Here is a 19,357-nt window from a genome sequence, read left to right as displayed (position 1 = left end):
CAGTAACCAAAAGAACAAATAAACACGAGCCAGGAGGTGATAACATGGAGGAAAAGAAATTAGGTTGAAGGGAGAGAGAATGATGGTGGGAGTGCTGTTTAATAAAGTGCGGTCAGGTTTAGGTGACCATGAAAGCAGGGGGCCTGATTGAAATGAGGGAGGGTGCTGTGCAGGCATCTGGGGAGAAGCCTTCCAGGCAGTGGGCAAATGCAAGCACACAGCCCCTGGGAGGAGGCTGCCCAGCCAGTGTGAGCAGCAATCAGGAGGCTAACATGGCTGTGGGAGTAGGCAAGGGGGGAAGGGAGGCCTCAGAGGGAAGGGGTGAGGTGAGGACCCCTGAGAGGGAAGGAGTGAGGTGTTTGGATATTTTCTCTTAATCAAACAGGAAGCCATGGAAGTTCTGAGCACAGAAGTGACCTTCTCTAGCTTTTGTTTCAAAAGTGTGACACTGATTTTTCTATGAAGAATGGGTGGAAGCAGAGAGAACACTTAGGAAGCTTATTTTGATAATCCAAGCCAGAAATGTTGATAGAAGACAGGGCGGTGAGAAGGTACAGAATTCAGGAAACATTTTGAAGGTAAGGCCAATATTACTGGCCAATTTAAAGTGGAGGATGAGAGAAAGAACATAGTCAAGGATGACTCCAAGATTTTTGGCACACCTGGTAGAATGGGATACACTGAGTTGGGGAAGAAGCAGAGGGGAAGGCATGGGGGGTTTATCTACCCAGTGACCAGGACCAAGGACTGGCATCGAACGGTGCACCTGAGGCAGGGCCTTGCCCCTCCATGTGTTCCTCTATCTCTCCATCCTCACATTTCTTTCTCTCCGTAAACCCTGAGCCAGTGAGGACTCTATCAGTGGGCTCTCCCACCTGCTCATCCTTCTAGCTGCCCAATCCTACCAGCAACCCTCCTTTCACTCTGTTCCTCTTTCCTTCCCTAATAATAACAGCTACCTTCTACAGACTGCTCCCAACGCATTTCGTGTGCTTTATGTGAATTATCTTGCCTCTTCTTTGCAATAACCCTAAGAAACTGGTTCTCAGTGTCTACGTAATTTGCCTAGGGTCACATACCTATCGACTGGCAAAGCCAGAACTGAAACCCAGGCTTGTCTGGTTCCAAAGCCTCCCCTCAACCAGGATGCTGCACAATCTCAAACTTGGAAGTGGCTCCAGAAATATGGCTCCTTCCTGCAACACAGCCATCTTTCCCAGCACTCCACCCTTCTTCTAATAAGATTCATTCCTGACTTCTGTTGTCTCAGATGGGAACTCCGGAAACTTCACAGATGCCTTCTGTTCCTTCCTCTCTCAAAAAAGAATGTTAACCAGAATTATTTGGCCACGAGTCCTTTTCCTCTCTCAATTCCTCCTGGACCTGAGACCCTACATTGCCCGATCCCACAAGGCTGGGAAAGGCAGCTTGTCTGGAGGGATCCAGGAGGGTCTCTGACAACACGACCAAAATGCCTCTAATCCAGGCTCCTGCCCTGAGAAATAAAAACAGAACCACAGAAGCAGATGAATCCCTTGTCCCCAGACTCTAACCTCTGGCCAGTTCCCTACAATTTCTCATCTCCTAACTCAACTTGGGTAAGCACAGAAGCCAATGGCCTTGGGCTTCTGAGGTGAGAAGGCACTTCTCACGTTTAGAGGAACGCCTCTCCCATTTCACTGCTTCCTCATAATGTTCGAGTAGGCAGCATATAAAAACAGGGAAATAAAGTCACACTGAGTTTCCATGACCTCATTTCCATTACCCAAGTAGCTGGTCACATAATTATATCTTAAACCCAGGTGTCCTGTGTGCCCCCAAACCCAGAAAACCGTGGCTTCAGGTTTTCCATGTTTGTTACAAAAAAACAAGGAACAAGGGTAACTAACTACATGTCCTTTGCAGCCAAATTGCCATCACTCTCCTAAGCCAGTAGAGAGGTCTGCGTTACTGTTCTGCAGGTAACTGCCTGTCGAATTCTTTCTGGTGGCTGCTCTATGAGTATTTGCCTGGAAGGTACCATCTTCTGTCAGTTACCTGTCTGTCAAAGCTGCTACTTCCTTCCCCAGGGTGTTTTCTGTACAAGCTGCCACTTCTCCTGACCAGTAAAAAGTATCTACTGGGCCAAATATCTTCTCCCCCTCACCCCACCAAGAGCATGGAGGACCTGCTTGATCAGACTTGCAGAGATCCTAGGAGCAAAAGGATTCATCTGGCAGATTAAGAAGCAGCAGACTCAGGACAGCCAATTCAGACAACATCCCAGGGGAGGGGGGAAGAAATAAGAGACATATTCTGAGATGAAACCTAAGTTGGAGGTCGCTTTCACCACTAGCTGCGAAGTCTGACACCAGCTATGCCACAAAGCCATTGGCCGCAAAGTCTGACACCAGCCAAGCCACAAAGCCTGGCTTCTCTTGTGGGGCTGCTGCTGAGCCATTCAGAATCTCCTAGCTGTAGTCCCAGTTTTAAATTTGAGTCTCTTAACAGCAAGTCTTATAAAGACCCTCACCTACCCCTTACACTTTGTTAGCTGTAAAAGACAGTTTTCCCGAAGCTAGAAGAGCTCTGCTTTGCGGGAAAGCTTGCTTCGTTTCTTTTTCATGAAAAACTTGAGTTTTGGACTCGGCAGACCTGCAATGACATCTTGGCTCTGCCATTTACCAGCTGTGAGACTAGAACAAGTCCCTACAATTATTTAAGCTTCAGCTTCCTTATCTGTGGAATAGGATAATAATGCCCATTTTCCCAGGACTGCTGGGGGATTGCAGGGATAATGCTTGGAGTGCTTTAACACAAGGCCTGGCACACAGTAGGTGCTCATTAAATGGCAGTTACATTCTCTCCATCGCTGGAAGGGCAGTGGAGGCAGGTAGCTCTGCCTCTTTGGCACTGACAAACCAACCTCAGTTTGCCCTCCAGGTCCACCGTTAATTCCCTAAGCGATGGGGTGAAAGCCTGCACCGGGAGGTTTGCGTCTCCCATGCCAAGTGAGAATAATAATTCTTCCCTCACACGATGAAGGGTACCTGCTGCTTGTGTGTGCTCCTTCTCTTGGGAGGGAGGCTTGCCACATAAACACAAGGCTTCATTTGTAAAATCTGGAACACACATTAACCCCATCACAATACCACCTTTGGACAACCTGTTCAATTCTTTTCACCCACACTCAAGACCTATATGGTGTGTCAGTGACAAAGGGACTGGTTGCCAATGCAAAACCCACCTATAGAAAGCCACCTTGTTGTTCCTCTTTGGGGAGGAGAGCTGAGCTCCCCCACCCCCCTTCTCCCATTGTTGAAGACCACCCAGTGACACTTGCTGGCAAGCTGCCACAGTCCAGACAGGCAAAGCCAGGCCTAACTTCCCAGCCTCCAGCTCTGCAACAGAAGCCTATAGAATGAAAAGCACCTGACTGTGGGGCCTTCGCAGATGGCAGACCACAAAAACTCTGAAGGCAGGGTTGCAGGTGATTATTTCAGAAGTCTGTACATTGGATGATCCATTAGACTCTTGGCTATAATACAGCAGATTCATATATAACTTGTTCACTACAAAACATCCATTCATAATGACAGAGGTAAACAGCTGTGAATTTCCATGACTTGATGTGGTCTCACTTGCAAAAGAGGGCACTGTGTTGACTGACTGCATTTTTAAGTCTCTCTCACTTGGGCACAGCTATGTAAGAGGGAAGAGCTCCCCTCACACCACTATGAAATGATAGTCACAAGACCGAAAACAGAAAGACAGAGCAGCCTCTGCTTTCACAGAAAAACGAATAAACCCAGAACTCCCCAATTTTCCTCTCCAATTAACTGTGACCCACACCTAATAAACCTGCTAGGATTGTAATATTAGGTGAGCTCAGACTAGTAAAGGCACTTGGCTGGGAGTAATCTGGAAAAATACTGGCAGAGCCAGGGAAGGTGGGGGAGGGCTCTCTTCCGAAGTCCAGTTCCAACGTAGACTTGGTGGCGGGGGCTCCAAGGCCTCCACGGCCAGCCGGTTCCACAGGCTCCGCTTTCCTCACCTGTAGCTCCCATCCTGTGTGCTATCTTCCTCTTAGCAGTCAAGGAAGTTTCTGGGCAACTTGAGAGCCCGGCAACTTTCACGTCCTTAAAATAAATGTCTCCTCACTTGGTACTGTGGGAATGATTTCAGAGCCACAGACGGTAAAACAAATGGCAAATGGAATTGAAAGGTAAAAAGCTGAATTCAGGCATGTATTTCTAGGATTCTCAGCTAAAATCTCATGTAGATGAAAATTTTTACAAAAACACACACTTCTCCTTTTCTCCCCGAAAGCCACTCAATAATTGGTTTTAGGAACTTAAGACCCAGATTTCTGCGTTTTTGCACAGTTAATGCTGATACCAGGTTTTAACTTTCCAAAAAGTATTTTAAAAAAAAACTATGCTGAACATGAAATGTTGTGTCTCAAGCATACTTAGGCCTACCATTCACTGAGGAAAATGAGTTTTAGGGAAGAAAATAATGAACAACACATACAAGGAGAGATAAAAGAACACTTTGGTACTATTGGTCCCATCTCTGCTTTTAAGACTTTGCCTGAGATTGCAACTCCTCTCTCTCTCAAGAAGTCCTCTCCCTCTCCCATCTCCCATCTCTCTTTCTTTTTTTTTTTTGAGATAGGGTCTCACTCTGTCACCCAGGCTGGAGTGCAGTGGCACCATCTCAGCTCACTGCAACTTCAACCTCCTGGGCTCAAGGGATCCTCCTGCCTCAGCCTCCCAGGGAGCTGGGATTACAGGCGCATGCCACCACGCCTGGCTAATTTTTGTTTGTTTGTTTGTTTGTTTGTAGAGACAGAGTTTTGCCATGTTGCCCAGGCTGGCCTGGAACTCCTGGGTTCAAGCAGTCTTCCCACCTTGGCCTCCCAAAGTGTTGCGATTACAGGCATGAGCCACTCTGCCAGGCCAAGAAGTCTTTCTTAACGGACCCATTCCAAGCACTTCAACCCTAGAGTTTGCATGGCAGTGCTCTGCGTTTCCCTTCAGGCCAGTAATAGGATTCTGGATGGCGCATGGGCTCTGGTATTAATTCCTGCCAGCCCACACCTGATGCCAGGCACACAGCAAGCATTGTTGAAAGGATGAAGGCGCCAACCTCCACCTACTTCACCACCTTCATCTTGTCCAATACTGTCCAAACTCACTTTGGAGAAGAATAAACATTCTTTGCTCTACTTTCCACTGCTCAGCTTCGGGTAATTTTTCTTCAACCCTACCCACCCTACCCATATTATGCACTTTCCTTTTGCTAACCAGCAGAACGGGTTGAGACTTTCCTCAACATTTTCTCTGGCAACTGAATTAGGTTAACTGTGTCTTTCTGCTCTGATTTCCTCTTACTGCCCAATAATCCTGTCCCAAACATCAAAGGCCTTCTTTGAAGAGAAGGCCAAATTCACTATTAGGAAAAGAGAAATTATTTCCTAACTTTATTTCAGAAGATGGGAAGAATCACAATCCCGCTGATTTTTGTGAGATAAACATTGCCCAGTACATCAGACCACAAGGCATTTGCTGTGATACCACTGACAGAGACATAAACACATGGCTTTCCTCACCCAAACCTACGCGGGACTTTTTCACAGCAAGCTTGGACTCCAAATCCCATAGTAAACGGTTTGTATCTAACATGTCTGACAGAGCTTGCCACAGAGCAAGGGGGTTCACATAGCCATCACAGGCTTTGACTAAAAGAGCATATGAACCGAGCTAGAACTAACCTGAAGTTTAGTCCAGATTCCACTCAAAGTTGGACTCCCAATACTTGAGGATGAGAAAAACTATCTCTAAGTGGTAACACAAAACATGAACAAATGGCTGACCTAATAGGCCAGAGCTATCAGACTGAAGAGAAAACCTCACCCACTTCTTCTACTTTCGAGCTGCTACCCTCAGACGGTATAAATGTCGACAAGACTTCATGGGTCATGGGTTCCAGGAAGCTTGTTCTGAAACTGAGGAAAAAGAGAATTATCTCATCTTTTGAACAAAATAAACAGTTCTGAAGTATTTGCTTTTTACAAGGTGCATTGATATAAACCATAGTAAGTCCTTATCAATACATTTTATAAATAAGAAAACAGTAGAAAAGCGATTTTTCTAAGACCATAGGCCTCCCGAAATGTCCAGTTTCCTGGCTCCCTGCTGAAATGAACAACGGATTAAGAACAATGATTGTACTTTACAAAACCATTACCTTTATGTTCAGCAGTCCATTTTCATCAATAGTCATCAACTATTTCTTAAGAACACATTATAAACAGGCCTCATATAAAATCAGTCAGGCTTACATGGAAGGGATTTGGGGTGATAATACAGAGGGCAAGGAATGAACTCAGCAAAAACCAAGGGTCAGCTGCTAGATTGGAGAAGGTGGCTCCTACTGAAGTAATACTATCATGAGGTAGGACAGAGCTACACAGCAGAGCTTTAAGAAATTAGGGTTTTAAACCTAGGTTGTTTTAAAGCTGGGTGGTGACTTGATTATAGGACTCATGGAGAATGGGTGGGATGGTCACAGGTTGGCACTGGGGGCCCAGCCACGTGCCAGCAACAATTGTCAAGGGCATCAACAAGTCTGGTGGTGGCAGGAATGAAAAAGATGGTGGAGTAATAAAAGGAAGGGCAGGAAAGAGCAGGCAAACTTGGGGAAGGTGTCTAACTGGGTGGCAGTAGAGATGTAGGAATAGATTAGTTCAGTGGTTTGAGTCAGTGTGAATGGAGTTCACAGGCAGAGCTTAGATTCCAACCCCAGTTTCCTAACCCTCCTAAAGGCAGTGCCATTTGAGATGGATCCTCTAAACCTTCCTTCCTGCATTCCACCTCCTCTTCTCTATCCGTTACCAACCCTGAGGGCTCCAAAGAAGCAAAACCTTCTTTAGGCAAGCTTTTCATAAACACGGGTTTATAGATTAAAAACAAACACCCTCTCCCATCCCACCCCCTAACCCCAAATATTTGAGTCAACCTCATAAATTATGAAAATGTTACATGTTAAGGCTCCATGTGGGAGCACACTTAGGATTTGGGTCTTTCCAACCAACAGCAAAGTAGTTGGCTACATCTGTTCTCTGAGTCTTTAGTCAAAAATGTAGAGACACTTCAGGGCTGTCTGATGACAAAAGTTCATACTCTTATCACAACTATGTCAAAAGTATGCATGCACATGATGAGCAACACAAGTCCATAGGATTGTGGATAATTTAAAAAACATTTTCTTAATTACAAGTAGATGCTTGTACAATAAATAAAAACTGAGGAGGAACCATCATTTGACTAATAAAGCTTACTTTCCTGGGACAAGGAAGCTTTCAGCCTGGTGCCTGATGCACTAAAAATGTTTGCTGAATTGAAGTATGGAGATGACAAGAAGTTACATATGTTAGAGTAAATAGATTTTTCTAAATGGAACATATTATTTTCTTTCCTCTCCCTCTCAAATTTCGATTCTTTTCTCCTGTCCCATATTTTCCCAGACAGCAAGAGGGCTTAGAGTTTGGAGGAAAGAAAGCAACTTCCAAATATATAATATCTTTTGGTGCCAAGTTAATATTTTCTTATTCAGAGGCCACAAGGTATTGGATAGCAATTATTTGGTGCACCTGAGTTTTCTGTTGTAGTTTGAAAGACACAGAGATAAACCCTAATTCATTACCCACATCAGTGGCTTTGCCGAAATTTGAACCCAGACCCCCTAGGGGACACGGAACACTATGACACATCAGGCTCACTTCTTGCTCTCCTTTTTCAAACCGTGGGGGGTCCATGTGAAAGTCAACTGAATTATTTCATGGGTAAAATCTCTTATTCATTCTTAGGGCATGGAAACCATGTTGTTGAAGAGAGCCGGGATCCCAAACACTTGAAAAAGCACTTCAAAAAAAGGGAAAATCTCTGGACCCATTTGGAGGGTGGAAAGGAACATAAATCACACAGCTTACCAAGAGTTGGCTCACCAATTAACAGCTAAGCAGAGTCCTCTCTATTTTTTCCCCACACCCTCCCTCTCCAGTTGTAGTCAAAGAATCAACCATTCTGGCTTCTAGCAACCTCTTTTCCCAAGTAAAGCCAGTGGCCTATGGCGTGGGGGACAACTGCTCCCTAGCGAATGTCTCTTGCAGTGAAGCATTTCTGAAGTATCTCGATAGAGGATAAAAGAGACAGTGTCTGAGGTCTCAATCCTCAGGCTTCATAAATGTGTAGACACCCTCCAGCCTCCTCAAGGCCCAAATTCTGAGTGACAAATCTATACAGGGGAGGACAGTGTCAGCAAAGTGGCCCAATGAGGCAACTCTTCTTTCTTTCATTTTACCTCTTTGCATAAACTCATTTGAAAAACTCATAGCAGGAAAATAATAACTCTACTGCTGTTTCTGCCCGGCCTCTGTCCCACTGACCCCAAGGTGCTTTCAGATCACCACGAGAAGCTTCTGGGTCTCAATTATGAGACCATTAAAAAGTACCAATTATAAGACCTCAGAAATGTTTCTGGGAAACCTGTTACACACCTCAAAATGGCTAACCTCTTGCCTCAGATTTACTTTAAGTTCAGAAAACAGGTCACCCAGATGTATGGGCATCCTAGCCCCCACAAGCAGCCCAAGACTGTGGTTTAATATTTTCCATGCTGCCCTTAAGAAAACGAAGATTGATTTATTGGCTGTAACCAAAGGGATGAAAAAAACCATCACAGAGCTGGGCTGCCTGTTTAAGACCCAGTCGTGGAATAAATCAGAAATGTCTGCACACTGAAGTTTTAAAATGACATTCATCCAATGGTCAATGTGTACCGAGTTCTGGACAACAAAGAACTAGGTGACAAATGTGTGCTGGGCACAGTGCATCTGCAGGTGGCACAAGGGCCTGAAATCAAAATATAATCTTCACTCAGTCCACTCAAAGAGGTAACTCTGGGTCAAAAACTTAGGCGAACCCATTTGAACTTGCAGAGAAGGGATGAGGGGAGCAGCAGAACACCCCACCACACCCAAAAAGTGCCAGTTTGGGATTGCTGGTGTGTGGTTTCGGTATTCTTAGCTCTACTGCCACATCTCTGGAGGAGCACAACTCTGTTCCAAGCAACTCTGGCACTGCCACCCCCATCCCCAAAACAAAACTCTGCCAAACAAATCCCCGAGGCTCCATTAACTCCTTCAGGTCTGCCTGCCTCTCTCATCCCTCAGCATTCTCCCATCACCTGGAAAAGCAAATTAATACTGAACATCCTGAAAGTCAAGCAGGCCCTTCAACACCCCCATGAAAATTCTTCCTGGGTTCCCTGCCCTCCCCACAGCCCCGTCCCACTGGTTCCAGAGATTCATTTCCCACACCTTCTCACAGTTACATCAACAAAAACCCCAGGAGGACGCTGCTGGCGCGAACACGCACACACGCGCGCGCACACACGTACACGCACACACGAACTCTCTCTCTCACACACACACACACCTCTTTCACCTTTGCCCCAGCCCCTCAGACACCTCGGGCCACTCGGCTTCAGCCTCGCCCCTCTGCGCCAACAGCTAGGGATGCTTCCCTCAAGCTGCGTCGCTCCCGGTCCGCTGAGTTCCTCATTTTAGTGTTTTTCCTTTAGAAGACGCCAACTATGAGAAACCCTCACCCTCCAAAGAGGCCGAGTGCGTGTTGAGTGACTCTACGCATTTGCCGCCACGCCTCGGGTTCCCCCCACGGCCTGGAGCATGGGGCCGGGGCGCTGGTGTCAACCTTCGGTGGAAGTTTGGGAGGCTGGCTGGATCCTTCTTCCACCCGAGAAGCTTCTGGGAACCGCTGAGGCGAAACCACCATCGCCCGGCCAGACCGCTGCGGCAGGGAACGAGATGCGGCGCCCCTGGGCCCCGTAGCGGCTGCAGCCCCCGGGACCCCCGCTGCCCGCCTCGCCCCAACTTCTTCGCCCGGCGCCCGGCGCGCCCAGCCTCGGCCGCAGCTCCCAGCCCCGGGCGCCCGGCCGAGCGCTGGGACCCGGCTCCCGCCGCCGGCACGTCCCCCGGCAGCCACTCGCTGGCGCTGCCTCGGCCTGCGGCCGCCTCCCGCCCCCTCCTCTCCCCGAACCAACAGTAAACACAACTTTTTATGAAAAGAAAACAAACTTCAGCGACGTGACTCACCTCTGCTGCAGCCGGCGCCTGGGAAGGGCGAGCCGGGGCCCGGGGGCCAGCGTGGTGGGCGCGAGGGAGCCACACAGCGCCGCGCCGCACGGACACACAACACGCTCGGTGACACCGGGGACACACAACACGGGCGAGCGGCCGCGGCTGGAGCAACAAAGGAGCCGAGGACCGAGAAGTTGCGGGCCGGAGAGGGAGGGCGCGTGCGGGCGTGTTGTGGCTGTGGCGGGCGTGAGGGTGTGCGCGCCGTGTGTGCGCGTGTGTGTCTTTTCTGTGTGTGTTTGTGTGTCTCTGTGTGTGTGTCTGTGCGCGCGCGCGGCGGCTGACACCGGCGGGCCGGGGCTCAGGGTCCCCGCGGCAGAAAGCGGCGGCCGCGGGGGCGGCAGCAGGAGGACAACGCAGGGGACGCCGCGCCCAGCGCACCCGGTCCCTCCATATGGAAGAAGCTTTTTGGATGACTGAACTCGCAAACAATTCCTTCTTTTGCTTCTCCTGCCTAGGAGCCTCCCATTACCGTGCGAGGAGGAGGAGGAGGAGGGAGTGGAGGAGGCTGGGAGGAGGGGGAGGAGCAAAATGGAGCAAAGAAAAAGTCTTGGAAAGGAAGCTGGAAAAAGTCCCCCAAACTCTAGGGCAGTTTTCCCGTTAACACCCACTTTTTGCTGTGCCTCAGACCCGCGCTCTCCTCCAACTTCTTTTGCTTTCCCATACCAAAAGCACCATCTTCTCCCTTTTCCCCGAACCCAGGGGGCTCCCCTGAAGCCTTCACTTTCTCTTTAGCTTCACCTCGCACCCTTGCTCTTCCATGTACAATCCTTCCCTCCTTTCGCCTAGTCTCTTCCAAGACTTTCCTGACACCCACCTCTCAATGGTCTTCTTCTTCTGCAAGACAAACTGTTGGATAAATCATTAAAAGCAAACTCATCAGAAAATGGGACAGCGGCGGTGGAGAAAATGATAAGGAAACCAATCTCAGGGAAGCCTTAACGCAGCCTCCCCCGACCCCCTCGGTCGGTTGGGGAGGGTTTGCCGCGTCGTCCATTGACAGCGCCCTGACCTCCATTCATCATCCCAGGATGGAGCCAGGGAGGAATGGGGAGGGAGAGCTGGGGCTGGGGTTGGGGGCATGGGTTGGGGGTGCTAGTGGCCACGGAAAAGTTAGTTACCTATGCGTGTGTATGTGTACGCGCACGCGCGCGTGTGTGTTGGTCAGAAAACTTTCAGAGCTGTGGTTCTCAAACTTGATCTGCAGCAGGACTCCCTGGAAGGCTTGCTAAATCCCTTTGCTGGGCCCCACCTCCAGAGTTTCTGATTCAGTAGGTGGACCTGGGAATTTGCATTTCAAATAGGTTCCCAGGTGATGCTGATGCTGCAGGTCAGGGGCCACGTTTTAAAAACTACCTTTCCAGGGCAGTGAGAAGGCAAATGTTGAGTTGGTGGCAAATTGGATTCCCTTCTTATTTTTTAGGAATGAAGCACAGGTTGTGAGCGGTCATCCATTCCGTATCTTCATTGCAGCTGAGAAAACCAAGTCCCAGCAGGGCTAAGCCATTTGTTTAAAGTGAACTGGGAGTTTGTGCCAAGCTGGTGAGGAAGCTGTCCTGGAAATAAGACAGCCAGGCTAGTAGTAGGGTGAATGGGGGTGCTGCCTTCCCTGTGTGGCTGGACAGCTGCACTGGGAGTCAGGAAGCCACTGTGACTTTGGAAAGTCACTTAACTTTTCTGGGCCTCTGGGGGTTTTGTGTGTGTGTGTGTGTGTGTGTGTGTGTGTGTGTGTGTGTGTGTGTGTGTTTGTTTGTTTGTTTGTTTTTTGACAGAGTCTCACTCTGTCGCCCAGGCTAGAGTGTAGTGGTGCAATCTCGGCTCACTGCAAAGTCTGCCTCCTGAATTCGAGAGATTCTCCAGTGTCAGCCTCCCAAGCAGCTGGGATTACAAGCACCTGCCACCATGCGCGGCTAATTTTTGTATTTTTAGTAGAGACGGAGTTTCACCATGTTGTCCAGGCTGGTCTTGAACACCTAGCCTCAAGTGATCTGCCCACCTTGGCCTCCCAAAGTGCTAAAATTACAGGCGTGAGCCACCTCACCCGGCCCTGTTTTGTTTTTTATTAACTTGTTTCTTGTCAGTAAACATACATACTTTACACTGAGTATAGGACTCTAATTGAATCTGAACCAAAAGACCTTTACAAAGGAAACATAAATGTATTTTATTCCATATTTTGCACTATTTTTTCTCCGGTATTTAGTCATTCAGGCAGAAGCCAATTTCCTTTTTGATTTATCGAGTACTTTCAGCTCTGTGCCTGGATTCTTAGGCATGTTCCTCTGGCAAAATGGATCTGGAGGATGATGCATTTTCAGCAAGAAGGTGAAAAGGACTCTGAACTCTCTCTGTGCATTATCCACCTACATTTCCTTTTCCTACTTAATCATCCTAATTTTCCTTCCCTTTTAATCTCTAACAATCTCCCCCAACATTCTCAAAGACCTATTTTTCTTTCCAGTCATTGACTATATTAGCTTCCACTTTCTTTTGTCCTCCTTCCAAGGCACAATTCTGGACTACAAGGCCTGGGGTCCACCCTGGGTACAGAACTTTTAATTCCCCCAAGGGAATGGGTCAACCAGCTTCCTCTGCAGTGATAACACTCCTTCTCCCCAGGGACCCAAGCAGCGTATCCAGCCTTCTGTTTTTCAAAGATGATTCCAAGTACCGCTCAATGAGAACGTGATGCATGAAGGTCTCAGATTCATTCTTTTATATTCCTGTATATACTATTCGTTGCTTGACATCTCAAAGATATCTTCTACCCCTTCTGTCATCTTTCTCCTAGGACTCTCCATTCTCTTACTCTGGTCTTTGGGTCCACACAGCCCTAGGCTCTGAGTTAAGCATCAGAACACAACAGAACACAAAGAATGTAACAGTCCCTACCAGCACCATTTAGTCAGGAGAATGACACACTGCCTTGTTCCTTCATGCATGCAGGCTGCTCACCTTTCTTTCTTTCCTTTTTTTTTTAAGATGGAGTCTGGCTCTCTCACCCAGGCTGGAGTGCGGTGGCATGATCTCAGCTCACTGCAACCTCCACCTCCCCGATTCAAGCGATTCTCCCTGCCTCAGCCTCCCGTGTAGCTGGGATTACAGGTGCCTGCCACCACGCCAGGCTAATTTTTTTTTTTTAAGTAGAGACGGGGTTTCACCATGTTGGACAGGCTGGTCTCGAACTCCTGACCTCAGGTGATCAGCCCGCCTCAGCCTCCCAAAGTGCTGGGGTTACAGGCATGAGCCACTGCTCCCGGCCTGCTGCTCACCTTTCTTATAGTTTAGGCAGAATGCAGATCACAGCTTAATAAAGAGGACTTAATTCTGCTGGCGGCATCAAGCACACTGTTGGTACCTCAGATATGTTTATTGTTTTTATTGCTCTTTGTATTAATGTGATTGTGTTTATTACTACTAGTCCTGTAAGAACAACGTATCTGAATTTTCTCCCCACTCCATTTTGCCTGGAGGGTATTTCTTGCCTAATTCCCTCCTCCCCTTTCAATTAGTTTCTCTATCTTAACCCACCCCAACCCATTCCAGCATCTCTAGCCATTTCAAAACAGTTAGGTGGAGTCTGGATCTTGTAAGGTGCTTTTTGCTACTGTCCGTTCTGTTGATGGTGATTTACCTCTAGCACCTTGCTTTCTTGGAAATGTTATGGGCCTCCACCAAGAAGGAAGCATTTGGTATGGAAGTGATCATCACATTAATTTAAATGCTTGGTCGGGGGAAGGAGTGGGGAGGTGAGTAGGGATTGTAGGTCTATATAAGTCACTATGTTGCTAGGCTGTGCAGAATAAACTGGAAGGAATTCAGTGAATGACATGAAAAGACGTGGTTTCCTCTCAGTGTGCTGTAGATACTCTACCTGTATCATATAAACAGGGATCTCTTTGACTGTGAAAGATATCTGGAGAGGATTATGCTGAGAAAATTATTAAGATGTAGACAAGAAAGAAGGACTTGATGATGTTTTCCTCTGTTTTAATATAAATCTGCTTTCCTGATTATAAAATATGTGCACTGACAAAAATTTAGAAAATGTAGAAAAACACATAAAAGAAGAAAATCAACTTAAAGTTACTACCCAGGGATAACATTGTTATTAACATAGTGGAGTGTTTTTTCTAGTCATTTTTCTTTCTTGTTTTTGTTTCTCATCAATACAAATAAACACGTTATCGACACTGAGTATATGATTCTAATTGAATCAGAATTGAAAGACATTTAAAGGGAAACATAATTGGGGTGAGTTTATTCAATATTTTATACAATTTTTAATGCATCTGGTAATTCAGGCAGGAGCCAGCTTCTTCATTGATTTATCTGGTACTTTCATATTTTACAAATTTGGGTTCATTGTACATACAGGTTATCATGCTTTTAAATTTAACATTTTAATGATTATTTTCCCCATATGTAATCTTCAAAATTTGACTTAACTGCTGTGTACTATCCCATCAAAGAGAGAGATTGTTATTTATTCAACCATTCTTCTATTGTTACATATTTAGATCGTTTCCATTTTTATTATCATCCTGTATTGCAGTTGACTAAACATCTAGCTATAAATCTTTTTGTTCTGATTATTTCCTAAGGGTAAATTCATGTAAGTAGGAGTTTGGGATCAATGGATAGGATATAACATTTTAAATGCTTTTAGTTGGTATTACAAAATTGTCCTCCAGTGGTTCCAATGTACATTTCCATCTCTCAGATTATTTTAATTAAAAACAACAATGAGATCATCAAACACAAGGTCCCAAGTGAAGACTTGATTGAATTATCTAGTCTGAATGATTACACTGAACAATAAAGAAAACAACTGCCAAATATTCACTTTAGTGGAAACAACACTCCAATGGGAAGAGCTGGGCACTAATTGCTTACCCTATGAACTGCATCATATTTATGATTTTATTTAACCTTTTCAACAAGCCTCTGAGAAATAAGCTAATGTTTATTGAGCACCTTCCTCTCCCAGTTTCTCTCCTGGATTCTGTGTGTACCTTCCATCTTGAATCCCCATAATGACCTTGTGCTATATAGGTGCAATTATCTCCATTTTATAGATAAGGAAAATTAAATAACATGCCTGAGATCCCCAACAACTAAATGGTGGTAAGAATTCCAAACCCAAGATTTTTCCAGTGAAACACACTACTTCACAACTATTTCATGAATTGCAGGCTACTTCTTGCAGTAAAAAAAAACTGTTTAGAAAATGCCCAAATTTTGTCTAGCCATTAAGAAGTATTTTATGGGCTTTCCAAGGAGTGTTTTTCTTTTTTCGAAAGAGACATTCAAGTGCATTCCAAGAACTAAGGTAACTTACTAATTGTAACTAATGTAAGAGTCTAAGGATATTATATACAGGAAGAGAATGGAGTTCTGATGTATGGGTTAAGATTAAAAATGACATACCGGCCAGGTGCGGTGACTCACGCCTGTAACCCCAGCACTTTGGGAGGCTGAGGGGGGCGGATCACGAGGTCAGGAGTTTTGAGACCAGCCTGACCAACATGGTGAAACCCCATCTCTACTAAAAATGCAAAAATTAGCCAGGCGTGGTGGCGCATGCCTATAATCCCTGCTACTCAGGAGGCTGAGGCAGAAGAGTCGCTTGAACCCGGGAGGCGGGAGGTTGCAGTGGGTTGAGATCGTGCCACTGCACTCCAGCCTGGGCAATAGAGCGAGACTCCATCTCAAAAACAAAAAAAAAACAAATAAACGAGATACCAAAATTCACAGTTTTAACAATATTAGTAAATTGGCTTTTGTACACATAACTATTCTCAAAAGCTTATATTTGGATAAAGACATTTTATCTTGATAAATGATACTGGAAATGAGATATTCATGAACCCAACTTTCTGCTTTAAAATTCAAGCTGTTGAGTGTATAAAGTGTCTATTTATTAAGGCAATATCTCAGTACAATTTCAAGATGCATAACATAATCCATTAATTTATAATTAGGAAAATTAGCCCTCATTTGCTCTTGACTGGACCATTAACTAGTTATCTGAGTTGGCTTACCGTTCTATGCTGGGTATTGCAAGGGCTGCTGGAGAAGAAATATGCCCAGTTGCTCTAAAATATTTGTTGACTGAAGGAAGAATGATGAATGAAAGTATAAGATTGACCTATGCAACAATTAGTAGAAACAATGCAAGACAGCGTATAATTAAACCCTAAATTGCATGGTTCAGGCAGAACTACAGGTGAGCCTGGTATGATGCCATCTATTCCTTATACAAGTTGAACTGGCTGGGACTGACTTCTCTAGCCCCAGGCTGTCAACTCAGGCATTCCTACTGGCTATATGTTCCGTTGACTTTTAGGAATTAATCACCAGATCCCCACAAGGCTCCCTATGGACAAGTGTACCCCAGGGGGAGAATGATATTTTATTTATTTATTTAGAGACAGGGTCTCACTCTGTCTTCCAGGCTGGAGTGCAGTGGTGTGATCTTGGCTCACTGCAACCTCTGCCTCAGCCACCTGAGTAGCTGGGATTACAGGCGCACACCACCATGCCCAGTTGATTTTTTTTTTTTTTTTGACAGTGTCTTGCTCTGTCACCCAGGCTGGAGTGCAGTTGTGTGATCTCGGCTCACTGCAAGCTCCGCCTCCCGGTTCACGCCATTCTCCTGCCTCAGCCTCTGGAGTAGCTGGGACTACAGGTGCCTGCTACCAGGCCGGCTAATTTTTTGTATTTTTAGTAGAGACAGTGTTTCTCCAAGTTGGCCTGGCTGGTCTCGAACTCCTGGGCTCAACTGGTCCACCTGCCTCGTCCTCCGAAAGTGCTAGGACTACAGGCGTGAGCCATTGTGCTTGGCCGAGGATGAGATTTTTAAAAAAAGAATATTGTGGCATCAAGACAAACCTGGGTTTGAATCCAGTCTTAAATAAGCTGCATGAGCTTAGACAAATTAATTACATCCCTAAACCCTAGTTTCTGTGAATATTGGAAATAATATATATGTACTATTTCTCTCTCTATATATACACATATATATGTATACACATATATATACACATACACATATATATATGTGTATATATGTATATATAAACCCTTGGTAGGCACTCAATAAATGGAGGGAAAATTAGTAAAAGTTTGAGTGAGAGGTGAAGCTGGGTTAGAGAAATGAAAAATAGAATAGTCCAAGGCCACTTCTGTGTGCTTGATTTTGCAAAGCCCTAGACAAATAGAATCTATTGACACTGAATTCCACGTGAGACCACTTTTCCAAGATATCAGATTCTCTAAAGCAAGCACAGCCCCCTTTCGTCCTCCATGACACCCCCACCTTCCTCATCTCCCGCCATCTGTTCTTCCCCCATCCCTTCACTTGTTAGGCTGAGACAGTTGGATTCTGGTGCTGCCCAGACTCCAGCTGTTTGACATTGTGCAGTGACGGCAGCAAAGAGGGCAGGGGCGCAAGATTCCAGATGAAAGCAAAAACTCAAAGAGAACTGGATCTCAGAGCTTTGATACTAAACTCAGTGGATAACAGCCTCCGTTAAATTTGTTCAGTCAGCCATTTAAGGGGGAAGAAGTTTCTCACACATCTTGTAAGGGTTTTTAGCAATGAGATGCTTCCATGGAGGGGAATCCATATTCTGGGGACTGAGCTGGGCAGAATCTAATGCCAAAGCTGCCACTGCAAGCTTTGAGGCAGGTATTATGCCATCTTGTTTTGTTCTACATGTGTTATTTTCTTTCTCCTTCATAAGATACCTGCGATTCTCTGAGACTTTTGGCCACAGCATCAGGAAACCTAACTATGCCTGACCCTACTCCACCTTACCCCACTTCTTCAAGTCCTCCACTCACAAGCAGAATTTAACAGGGAGGCCCAAGCTGCTCTGCAGTTCTGGTCATGGAGGGAAGGTTGACCGGCCTCCCTGGACAGTGGTTGGAAGCTCTCTGTGGACCTGCAGGCAGAGCCATGAGGAAGGGAGAGGAATTGACAAGAATATAGATTCTGGGGCTGGTGGTGTTGTAGAAGCCTCCCTGCCACCTCTCTCATTGAGAATCAGAAAACAGCTGTATATTCTTTGCCTTTTATTTGTTGAATTCATCAACTAGAAAATGGAATTGTTAGAGGCTTGGTGGTCCCAATACCTTGCATGTGAAACTGTGCCTGAGATAAGGAACGACTAAGAAAGTTAATCTCACAGTTCACTGATTCCTAATTATTTAAAAAGCAATATCTATAGGCCTTGTCCTTGTTTATTCAGGAGAGATGAAGATGGGATCATTCATGTCCTTGCCTTTCTTTGATGGCTCCCCACTTCCTTTGATATAAGGCACAAGTGCTCCCTGCTCCATGGTCTGGTCCAGCTCAACTCCCCAGGCTGGCTCCTCAGGGCCCCACTAAACTGTATCTTGTGCTCCAGTATCTCCTTGCCCTTCCTCAAAGCACCACAATTTATCATGCTTTCCAGCCTGCCCACTTTATTTCCTTCTGACTTATTTCCTTTCTCCTCTTTTCCACTCATTAAACTCCTACTTACCCTTTAAGAATTTTCTCTAACATCATCTCTTCTAGGAAGACTTACTCAAACCTTCCCTTCCTAACTCGGATTGCCCTCTAATGAAACCCTTTTTTGCCTTTGCCTGGCATCTACCATGAGCATTGTAATTATAATTGTGGATCTGTCTGTCTTCTTGCTGGAATATCCTCAACTACAAAGGCAATCTGTTTCATCTTTGTATTCTCAGGTTTGGCATGATGCCTGGCACATGGTGGATGCCCAATATATAAATATATCAAGTGGATGAAGAATTAACAAAATCAAGTATCCCTATTGTAGCACGGATATATATTAAAGCCTAATGGATCTACATGGTCTGTAATGTTGAAGGAATACCAATAACTAATACGGGGCCTGGGGTGGAACCACAGGTTTACAACTAAATACCGGGCCCTTGCCTAAAGCAGGTGAAGCCTGGTTTGTCTTAGCTATAAAGCTGTCTGTACACAGTATTTTGCATTTAGATGCTAATGGTATGTTTGAAATGATAGCGTATGACTGACTTTGTTTTTTAGTTTTTATTTGAGATAATTATAGAGTCACGAGTTGTAAGAAACAATACAGAGAGAGTCTCTATGCCTTTCATCCAGTTCCCCCGACAATA

The 19,357-nt window shown here is 45.7% G+C and overlaps 2 protein-coding genes across 43 annotated transcripts in view, besides 1 other annotated feature; one reads left to right on the top strand and one right to left on the bottom strand.

Annotated features, from left to right (window-relative positions):
- Positions 1 to 11,250, bottom strand: part of BOC (BOC cell adhesion associated, oncogene regulated) — a 76,534-nt gene extending 65,284 nt beyond the window's left edge. For 12 of the 42 annotated variants that reach the window (XM_047449173.1, XM_017007446.2, XM_047449177.1 and 9 more), the window contains exon 1: positions 5,898 to 5,991. Coding sequence is in view for 4 of the 42 variants with exons in the window: in XM_047449188.1 (XP_047305144.1) it covers positions 5,898 to 5,964 (67 nt within the window). In the remaining 38 variants the exon portion in view is untranslated. Of the gene's footprint in view, positions 1 to 5,755; positions 5,992 to 9,482; positions 10,061 to 10,159; positions 10,620 to 11,018 lie in introns of those variants that run through there. The other 30 variants (NM_001378073.1, NM_001387925.1, XM_047449184.1 and 27 more) reach the window with 14 other exon arrangements.
- On the top strand, positions 6,546 to 14,779 carry LOC124909486 (uncharacterized). Its single transcript, XM_047449436.1, has 2 exons — positions 6,546 to 6,644; positions 9,896 to 14,779. The coding sequence occupies exons 1-2, from the start codon at positions 6,546 to 6,548 to the stop codon at positions 10,619 to 10,621; spliced, it is 825 nt and encodes a 274-aa protein (XP_047305392.1). The 3' UTR covers positions 10,622 to 14,779.
- Positions 9,607 to 10,258: an enhancer, noted in NCBI's record as "H3K4me1 hESC enhancer chr3:112930765-112931416 (GRCh37/hg19 assembly coordinates)". NCBI's record gives its function as "activates a minimal SCP1, AML or CMV promoter by ChIP-STARR-seq in naive H9 embryonic stem cells {active_cell/tissue: H9 hESC(naive)}" and the evidence as "EXISTENCE:reporter gene assay evidence [ECO:0000049][PMID:30033119]".
- Positions 14,780 to 19,357: the final 4,578 nt, after the last annotated feature.

This window comes from Homo sapiens, chromosome 3, assembly GCF_000001405.40.
Source record: "Homo sapiens chromosome 3, GRCh38.p14 Primary Assembly".
NCBI lineage: Eukaryota > Metazoa > Chordata > Mammalia > Primates > Hominidae > Homo > Homo sapiens.
This window is presented reverse-complemented; position numbering and strand designations above follow the sequence as displayed.